The sequence below is a fragment of the Homo sapiens genome, chromosome 13, assembly GCF_000001405.40.
Source record: "Homo sapiens chromosome 13, GRCh38.p14 Primary Assembly".
In the NCBI taxonomy this organism is placed as follows: Eukaryota; Metazoa; Chordata; class Mammalia; order Primates; family Hominidae; genus Homo; species Homo sapiens.
In genome coordinates this window covers 82564543-82575693 of record NC_000013.11, presented here as the reverse complement: position 1 = coordinate 82575693, position 11151 = coordinate 82564543, and the positions used below count along the sequence as shown (strand labels likewise).

The window sequence follows — 11151 nt, the reverse complement described above, 5'->3', positions numbered from 1 at the left end:
ATAAATAACGAGGAGCCAAATGTTAATACCCAGACAATAGGGAAAAGGTCTCCAGGGTGCTTCAGAGGTCTTCATGGCAGCCCCTCCCACCACAGACTTAGAGGCCTAGGGGAAAATATTTTGCGGACCAGTATCAGGGTCCCCATGCTGTTTGCAGGCTAGGAACTTGGTGGCCTGTGTCCCAGTCACTCCAGCTGTGGCTGAAAGGGGCAAACACAGAGCTAGGGCTGTGGCTTCAGAGGGTGCAAGCCCCAAACCTTGGCAGCTTCCATGTGGTGTTGAGCCTGCAAGTGCACAGAAGTCAAAAATTGGGGTTTGAGAACCTCCGCCTAGATTTCAGAGGATGTATGAAAATTCCTGTGTGACCAGGCAGAAGTTTGCTGCAGGATGGGGCCCTCATGGAGAAACTCTGCTAAGGCAGTACAGTAGGGAAATGTGGAGTTGGAGCCCCAACACAGAATCCCTACTGGGGTACCACATATTGGAGCTGTGAGAAGAGGGCCACTGTCCTCCAGACCCCAGAATGGTAGCTCCACTAACAGCTTGCACCACTCAACTGGAAAAGCCACAGACACTCAATACCAGCCCGTGAAAGCAGCTGGGAGGGAGGCTGTACCCTACAAAGCCACAGGGTGGAACTGCTCAAGACCATTATCACCCACCCCTTGCACCAGAGCAAGCTGGATGTGAGACAAGGAGTCAAAAGAGATCATTCTGGAGCTTTGAGATTTGACTTACTTGCTGGATTTTGGACTTGCATAGGGCCTGTAGCCCTTTGTTTTGGCCAATTTCTCCAGGTTGGAATGGCTGTATTTACCCAATTTTTGTACCCCCGTTGTATCTAGGAAGTAACTAAATTGCTTTTGATTTTACAGGCTCATAGGCAGATAGGTGGAAGGGGCTTGCCTTGTCTCAAATGAATCTTTGGACTGTGGACTTTTGAGTTAATGCTGAACTGAGTTAAGACTTTGGAGGATGGTTGAAAATTAGTTTTGAAATGTGATGATATACTGTTTGGGAGGGGCTGGGGCAGAGTGATATGGTGTGGCTCTGTGTCCCCACACAAATCTCATCTTATAGCTCCCATAATTCCCATGTGTTGAGGGAGGGGTCCAGTGGGAGATGACTAAATCATGGGGGCGGGTCTTTCCTGTGCTGTTCTCATGATAGTGAATGGGTCTCATGAGATCTCATGATTTTAAAACATGAGGGTTTCTTTCCATAAGCCCTCTCTTTTGCCTGCTGCCATCCACGTAAGATGTGACTCACTCCTCCTTGCCTTCCACCATGATTGTGAGTCTTCCTCAACCATGTGGAACTGTAAGTTCAATTAAACCTCTTTCTTTTGTAAATTGCTTACTTTCAGGTGTGCCCTTATCAGCAGCATGAAAATGGACTAATACACTCAACTAAACTAAAAATCTGCATAATGAAATAAACTGTCAACAGAGTAAACAAGCATTTACAGAATGGTAGGAAATATTTGCAAACTATGCATTCAACAGAGGTCTAATACCTGGGATCTATGAGGAATTCATTCAATTTAACAAGTAACAAACAACCCCATTAATAAATAAACAAAGCACATTAACAGAGACTTTTCAAAAGAAGGTATATGCATGGCAACAAACATGAAAAAATACTCAACATCACTAGTTATTAGAGAAATGCAAACAAAAACAATAATGAAACATTATCTCACACCACTCAAAATGACTACTCTTAAAAAGTGAAAAATAACACATATAGGCAAGTTTGTGAAGAAAGGGAACACTTATACACTGTTGGTGGGAGTGTAGATTAGTTCAGCCACTGTGGAAAACAGTTTATAGATTTCTCAAAGATCTTAGAACTACTACTGACCAACAATTCCATTACTGGATATATATTCATAGGATAATAAATAGTTCAACCATAAAAACACATGGATGCATATAATCATCACAGCACTCTTCACAATAGCAAAGATATAGAATCAACCTAGAAGCCCATCAGCAGTGGACTGGATAAGAAGATATGGTATATATATGCCATGGAATACTATGTTACCATAAAAAAATTAATTCATGTCCTTTGCAAAAACATGGATGAAGGCAGAGGCCATTGTCTTAACCAAGTTAATGCAGAAAACAGAAAGTAAATACTCCATGTTATCTCTTATAGGAGGGAGCCAAACATGGGCACAGAGATGGAAACAATAGACACCAGTGCCTACTTTATGTTTAAAGGTAGGAGGAGGGTGAGCATTGAAAAACAACCCCTAGGGCATTATGCTCATTAAATGAGTGACGAAATAATTTTATACCAAACCCCAATGAGATGCAATTCAGTCATGTAGCAAACATGCACATGTAACCACTAAATCTAAAATAAATTTTGGATGAAAAAAAGTCTATTAAAATGTATTAGCATGTAACTAAAAATGTGAGTAAAAGTGTGAGTAAAAGTGTGACTAAAGCCCAATTGGGTTCTTCTGATTTACGGCAAAGAAAAAGCTAATACACTGAGACAGAAGGTGTTGTAGCAGACAAAGGGATTAATATTTGCAAGGCAGCTGAGTGAGGACAACATGAGATTTCTCAAACCTAACTCCCAGGGAATTTGAATACTAGGGTTTTTAAGGGTTATCCAGCAGGCAAGCAGTTAGGGAATGGGTTCTAGTGATTGAGTGAGTTGGGGATGAAATCACAGGGGTGCCAAATCTGTCTTTGTGGGTTGAGACAGTACCTTTGTGTGGGTCACTAGTCTGGGTGGCATCTGTTGGTCTACTGGAATGCAAGGTCTGAAAAATATCTTTTTAAGACCTGTCTCAATTTTCACAATAGTGATGTTATCTATGGGAGCATTAGGGAAAGTCACTAATATTGTGACCCCTGGTTATGTGACTCCTGAGCAGTAAACAGTTACAAAATGCAAACTAGGAAATATGGAGTTTTTACTATTTATGCCATGTCTTAGCAGACTTCGGGCCCATACAATAATTTTAACCTTGTGACCTTTTATTAGTTTTACAAAGGTATTTTCAGTTTCTGAACAGGGAGGCTCTTAGCTTTGGGAAGAGACTATTATCATTCTTGCTTTAAAGTTAAACTATTAACTAAATTCCTCAGCTAAGTTATAAACTAAATTCCTCCCATAATAACTTTTGTCTATGCATAGGAATAAACAAAGGCAGTTAGCTCTTCAGGTTAGAAAAAAGCTTGAGTCACTTATGTTAGATTTCCGTCACTGGTATAACTTTGCAAAGTCAGCTTCAAAAGGAAATGTTTCACTTTATAAAGATTTTTATGAAAATAGCTGAAATAAGTGGTATTCTAATGCCAAAATATAATTTGAATAGTTAACAATGAAGGTTAAAAATTGAAAATTATACACACACTCATATACACACACAAATATACACTTATTTCATATATTGCAATAATTTTATTATGTATCTTAATTTATTTTTACTTAATATGTTTTGGAAGGTCTTAAGAAAGTGAAACTGCCTTTGCAAAAATCATAACTGAGAAAGAGATCTGACCTAACCAACTCCATCTTGCTTTTAACTTTTAAGCTGCCCTGTTCATTTCTAGGCATAGATTGAACTAACTTTTCGAGGAACTTAGTTTATAGTTTAGCTTTAAAACAAAGAAAATAACAGCCTTTCCCAAAGCAAACCCTCTTTCTGCCTGGGGACTAGACTGCCTTTTCAGGACCAACAGTTAAACCACAAGATTAGAAATTATGGTTTAGGAGTCATGCAGCTGGAGGCTGCAAACCTAACCAAATTGCTCCTGGGGATAACATCATTATTATAAAACCTAAGATCAATGCTTGAGATATTTTGCAGACCCTGCCCTGATGGATCAGATGGCACCACCCAGACTAATCAAATGGCTCATCTGATACTGTGGCCCGTACCCAGGAACTGACTCAGCACAAGAGGACGGCTTCAATGCCCTATGATTTCGTCTCCTACCCAACCAATCAGAACTCACAACTCATTCATAAAACTATTTTTTTTTCAAAAAAGATACTTTGTGTGTCTGAGTTTTAAGTAAAACACATCTATATTTTATGTATAAATATTTAGGGTTTGTTTGTATTAAATTTTATAGTCCTGTATTTTAACTATATTTTGATCACAAAACTATAGTACTTTCAAATTCTTTGAAGAAAACAGTGTTTAGCACAGAAGGAAAAAGTTACCTAATAACAGTCTTTTCTATTTTAGAATTTGATTCTATTGAAACCAATCAATTTTAGCTCTAACACAAATTAGACTGCTTGTAGATTATCATGGCATTACAAAATGAAATGCAAGTTAATGGAGGGCCTTGACCTACTTACCATGTTACAGAACTGGAGAATCAGTGAGAAAATTAAATTTCTAACTGCTCAATAGAAAATGTACATTATTTTATGTCTAAGGGTCCCTGGAATAAAAGTATAAACAATCCTTGACAATCACTTTCATAGTAAAATAATTATACCAAGTTATTTTTTTCTTAATTTAATAGAAAATCACATTATTACATGCATAATAAAAAAAATGTAAAAATTTATGGTTGCATAATATCTGTCACTTATTTATACTCTTACTTCCTCTCTAAAACAAAATTTCTCATCAGTTTGTCTCTTCTACAGGAAGACTGAGAGATTAACATAAGAATGCCCTGTAAAATAAAGATAATATATTTCCTCTATATTTCAGAATATATCTAATTCTAAGAAAACAAAAAAAAAACAGAATATAAGAAACTATTATTTCTAACTATCTGCCTGATCCCAAATGTCAAGTACAGTGAGATAATTCCCAGTCTAGTTGAAATCTCCTTTGCAAAGATTGTAACTGTGAGATAAATCTAATGTTGATGGCTGCAGGAGGTAGTCAAATGCCTAGGCAGACAGGGACATGTCCCCAGTGAAACCTGACCTTCAAGCCAAAGCCAGTTTAAAGTCTGAAAGCCAAGCTACAAGTCAATTTCACAAACCAGATTGAGAACCTCTCTTCCCATTTGGCATGCTTTCCTCTGATTGATCCTTACCCTTCACTTACTGTACATATGCCTATTCTTCCCTAATTGGTTTTTCACACTGTCCTGCCCACCTTTGAGTGGCACCTGTTTTTTAGCCTTTTTTTTGCATACTCACAAACCAATCAGCACATACTTCCCCATCTGAGCCCATAAAAATCCCAGACTCAGTCACACTGTTGGGGAGATCACCTGACTTGAGGTGGGGGACCACCCTTGCAATCTTTCCACATTGAGAACTCTACCATCACTCAATAAAATTCTGCTCCACACACCTCACCCTTCAATTGTCAGTGTAACCTCATTCTTCTTGGACACAGGGCAAGAACTCGGGAACCACCTAAGGCAAGTAAGAGCTATAACACAGGTGGGCTGGGGCATGCCTGGCCCAGCTGTGGGGTGAACACGAATTGCAAAGCAAGCATAGGATCAGTGGTGGTGCACAATAAGGTGGAGCCTGATGGGCTGAGTGGGCATGGCGTCTCCTGCATGTGGCCAAGCAAGGCCCTAAACAGGGACATTGCCAGCCCGGGAAGTCTCCATCTGGGGGCTCATCTGGATTTGTCGGAAGTGTGAGTAAATGCAGACCTATTACTCTTCACTTTTTCTGAGTCTTCTTGTCCTCAGACATTTTTTCTGAAGGCAGATAAAGCACTGAGTATCTGTCAGCCAATTAAGAAGCAAATGACATGGCTGCAGAGGAGGTTGTCACCCACTCTGAAACCCCTTGGGGGTTGGAAATGTCAGCTTTGTTCCAATCCAGTCCTTTCTATGGCATTTTCCTTCTTTCCTTCAGGACTGCCATGGTCTCCATCTCTTCTTTTATAATGTTAAGACTGTTGTTGCAAACCACAGAAAAAACATTCTTTTGTGGAATGGACACTCGGCTCAATCATCAGAAATGTAATTCAGAACAATGTGGTTTCCATCTATTCTTAGCAGCAAGCAGCATGCAGTGATTAAGAGTTTTTTTTTTTTTTTTCCTCTGTTGAAGAAACCCATTTACCTGGAGCAAGAGGCTTTCTCCCCCAGGTACCTTTCTCACCCTGCCCTTAAGCTTTTTTTTTTTTTTTTCTTTTTTTTCTCTCTTCTCTCCACCATATCAGGAGTTAACATAGCCCTGAGAAGACAGGAAACTTTTTTATGTGAGAGGTCATTTCCTTTTGGAGAGCATCTTACTAGGCCAAGTCCCCACTTCTCACGACTCCTTTTCTCTCCCTTGTTTGAAGAGAACCTGGTTCCACAGCTTCACCTTAGCATTCTGCCTATAATAAGGAAGCAATGGAGGAGTGACCCCACCAGGCACTCACTTCAGTTAGGTAAGGCCCAACTGGGAGTTAACTTAATAAGTCCATGCACCCTCTTGAGGCACCTTTCTGTCCCAAATTCAGTTCCAAGCTTCAGGTTGAAGCCTTGGAAAGGAAAATTAGCTCTGAGGGACCCAAAGGTAGAATACATTTTTTAACAATTGAATAAGGTATGCTCTTGTGAACAAAATTTAGAGCATGTTTGTTTCTCCAGAATTTGCAAAGTATTTGTGAGTATTCTTAACTTATGGCAATATAGTTGTTTGCATAAGTACAGTAAGAATCTATTTTCTTTTGCAACAAGATGTAATTGGAGAAACTGGTTGTTTTACCAGGGTTTTGACTGAAAGAGTGTGTTTCCCTTTAAGGAATCAAGCTTGACTTGCAGAGCCAATAAAAGCCCCTTGGAAAAATTGGCCTCAGATCTTGTCTACAAAGTCCCTGTACAGGGTTCCTAACCTGTGGTGAGTAAAGAATATCACTTTCTAACAGTCCCAGGAGCCCCAAGTTATCTTGGGACCTCAAGAAAATAAAAATTTACCCAACTCATAGTTATTTGAGGGTACAAACCCATGGCTGGGCTCAGCTTTAAAAAGTCTTATCTGATATTCCTTATTGAACAGAATTTGAGCAGAGCCAATTTAAAAGACCTATATGGGCCAGGTGCCATGTCTCATCCGTGTAATCCCAGTACTTTGGGATGCTGAGGTGGACAGGATCACTTTAGGCCAGGAGTTAAGGACCAGCCTGGCCAACATGCTGAAAACTCATCTCTACTAAAGATACAAAAATTAGCTGGGTGTGGTGGTGCATGCCTGTAATGCTGGCTACTTGAGAGGCTGAGGCATGAGAATCATTTGAACCTGTGAGGCAGAGGGTGCAGTGACTTGAGATCATGCCACTGCACTCCAGCCTGTGTGAATTATTCTTGCTGCACTTTGTGCAACTAATCTAGCAAAATACAAGATTGAAGTTTATTTTGCAAACAAATAACAAATCAGTCCTATCTTGATTTGTTTTTGACAAAAAATGAGAATTGGAGAGAGAAAAGTTATGTTTCAAAACTTATCATGCACTTGTCATTACATTCTAATCTCATTAATTAATTTTTAATTTGTGTCTGCATTTTAAACTAACTCTACTTAATCCTGATAACCAACCAGTGATCTCTGGCTACAGCTCAGAAGAAACAAAAGGGATGGGTAATGTTAAAATCTGAATCAATATTCTAGTTCTGGGCAATTATCCTCAAATCCTTCCAGGTGATAGGGGTAAATAGACTGCCCATAACCTGGAGGTTTTTTTTTTTTTTTTGGAAAATAAGACCAAGGGAGCTAACCAATGGCAAACCCCATGCACCCAAATCTTAGCAAGCATAACTATAGCTACCAGTTATTGAGGCATGTTGGCAGCTTCAGGTCTTTTGAAATGTCCTTACCCCCTTGTTTTGTTAGGTTATCTTCTGATAACGTGGTGTGTCTCTTCTCACCTTCAGGCCACTGACCTCCAAATGACCAAGCAACCGGAGCCTTGGATGATAGCTGCCTTTTACCCAAGACACTTAGGCCTCTGAGGGAGATCTTATTACCCTTTACTCAGAACAGCACTGCCTGTCTGCATGAAGCTGTTAAGAGTGGCCATCATTTTTATTCTAATGGCAGTTAGATGTACCTCTTGAGAGGAGGGAATGATAGCAGGGGGAAGCAGTCAGATGCCTAGGCAGACAGGGGTGGATCCCCAGTTAAAGCCCACCTTCAAGCCAAAGCCAGTTTAAAGCCTGAAAGCCAAGCTACAAGTAAAATTCCACAGACCAGATTGAGAACCTCTCTTCCTGTTTGGCATGCTTTCCTTTGATTGATCCTCATCCTTTACCTATTTTACAAGTACCTCCCCTTCCCTAATTGTTTTTTTTTACACTGTTGTGTCCACCTTTGAGTGGTGCCTTTGTTTTAGCCTTTTCTTTTTCTTTTTTTTGCCTACTCACAAACCAATCAGCACACACTTCCCTATTTTAAGCACATAAAAGCGCTGTGCCCAGCCACACTGGGGCATAGAACTCCTGACTTTAGGTGGGTGACCACCCTCATGTCCCCTCTCTGCTGAGAGCTGTTGCATTGCATAATAAACTTTTTCTTCACCCACCTCATCCTTCGATCATCAGGTCAGTGTAACCTCATTCTTGGATGTGGGACAAAAACTTGGTAACCACTGAACACAGATATGAGCTGTAACACAGATGGACTGGGGCACGCCAGGCCCTACTGTGGCATGTGGGGGATCTGAGCCGGTGTGCAAGCCAGGTGTGGTCCAGTGGGCTGAGTGGATGAGGCACCTCTGCAGCAGGGTCAGGGCTGAGTGAGGCTCTGGGCAGGGATGTCCCTGGATGTGGAGGTTCCTGGCTGACAAAGCGACCGAGAAAAATCCTGCATCAATGTGACTGACTCCATCTTACTTCCAGCTTCACAGGCTGGCTGTGTTTTCTCATTCCTAAGAATAGTACAAGATGATAATGGGAGGAGTTTAGTTTATAGTTTAACTTTGAAGTCCCATGTCTGTAGGAACTTCCCAATTGGAAAAACAAAATAGAAAAGAATTAAAAGAAAGAGAATATTCAAGAACTGTGGAATAATTTCAAAAGGCATCAGATATGTATAACTGGATTACCAGAACTAAAGAGAAAACAGAATAGAAGAAATATTGAAAGTAATAATAACCAAGAATATTACAAAAGTTGTGACTGACACAAACAACAGATTCAGAAAGCTCAGAGATCATGAGCCAGGATTAACATATTTTTTTAAAAATATATAAACCTATGCATATCATATTCAAACTGCAGAAGAACAAAGACAGAGAAAATCTTTAAAGCAGGCAGAGGGAATACAAGATTGTAATTTTAGAAGAACAGGCATAAGAATTACATAAGACGTTTCAATATGAACCATACAAAAAAGAACAGTGAAATATTTAAAGAGCTAAAAAAGCTACAATTTAAAAAACAATCCAGACTTCGATAACCAATAAACTTATCCTTCAAAAGTGATCATAAAATAGATACATTACCAGATAAACAAAAATCTTCATAATTTATTGTCAGCAATCATTACTGTAAACAATGTGAATAGAAGTTCTTCAAAAAGAAGGCAGATAATGAAACAAAACAAAACCACAAGGAGATACCTTTTACACACACTAGAATCACTATAATCAAATTGATGGACAATAGTAAAAGTTGACAAAGATATGAAATTCTTAGAACTCCGACTCACAGCTGGGGAAAATTTAATACTTTATACTTACTTTGAAAAACATTTTGGCAATTATTCAGATAGTTAAACTTAAGATTGAAATATGATTCAGCAGTTCTATAGCTGGAAATATATTAAGAAGATAATTAAAAACACAAAGTCATGCAAAAGCTTGTAAACAATATTTGTAGAAGCATAGCACTGTCATAATAGACAAAAATGGAAGATAAATAAAACATCATGACGGGATGAATGAATAACCTAAATGTGCCATAGTTAAATGATAAAATAGGATACTGTTTGGCTGTAGAAAAAATGATCCCTCAAAAACCTAAAGACAGAAATACACTCAGCACAACAATCCCATTACTGAGTATATATCCAAGGAAATATAAAGCATTCTATTATATACACATACACACATATGTTCATTGCAGTACTATTCACAATAACAAAGACATGGAATCAACCTAAATGCCCATCAATGGTAGACTGGGTTAAAAAAAAAGGTACAAACACACTATGGAATACTACGCAGCCATAAAATAGAATGAGATCATGTCCCGTGATGGTTAATATTAAGTGTAAACTAGATTGGATTGAAGGATGTAAAGTATTGCTCCTGGGTGTGTCTGTGAGGGTGTTGCCAAAGGAGATAAACATTTGAGTCAGTGAACTCGGAGAGAAAGACCCCGCCCCCGCTCATTGTGGGTAGGCACTATCTAATCAACTGCCAGCCCAGCTAGAATAAAGCAGACTTACTGAGAGTTCCGGCCTTTATCTTTCTCCTGTGCTGGGTGCTTTCTGCCCTCATCATCAAGCTCCAAGTTCTTCAGCTTTTGGACTCTCGGACTTACACCAGGAGTTTGCCAGGGCTTCTTGGCCCTTTCACAGACTGAAGGCTGCAATGTTGGCTTCCCTGCTTTTGAGGTTTTGGGATTTGTACTCATCCACTACTGGCTTAGTTGCTCTTTAACTTGCAGGCAGTGTATCATGGGACTTTACCTTATAATTGTGTGAGTCAATTCTCCTTAGTAAACTCCCTTTAATATATACATATATCCTATTGGTTCTATCCCTCTAGAGAACCCTGACTAATACGTGTACTTTGCAGAGACATGGATGGATGGAGCTGGAGGCCATTATCCTTAGCAAACTAAAACAGAAACAGAAAAACAGATACCACATGTCCTTATTTATAAGTTGGAGCTAAATGATGAGAACACATGGACACAAAGAGGAAAACAACACACACTGGGACATATCAGAGGGTGGAGGATGGGAGGAGGTTGAGGATCAGAAAAAATAACTAATGAGTACTAAGCTTAATACCTGGGAGGTAACATAATCTGTACAACAAATCCCCATGATACAAATTTATATATATAACACACTTGCACATGTACCCCTGAATTTAAAATAAAATTAAATAATGCAAAAGAATCTCACAAAGTTCCACTTTAAATAAAACAACAAAAAAGAATGATACATGCTACAACATAGATGAACCTTTAAAATAGTAAGCTAAGTGAAAAAAAAAAAAACAGACACAAAAGACCACATATTGTATGATTT

The 11151-nt window shown here is 39.2% G+C and overlaps 1 annotated feature.

Annotated features, from left to right (window-relative positions):
- Positions 10213–10413: a silencer, noted in NCBI's record as "peak2091 fragment used in MPRA reporter construct". NCBI's record gives its function as "represses an SCP1 promoter by STARR-seq MPRAs in K562 erythroleukemia cells {active_cell/tissue: K562}" and the evidence as "EXISTENCE:reporter gene assay evidence [ECO:0000049][PMID:32103011]".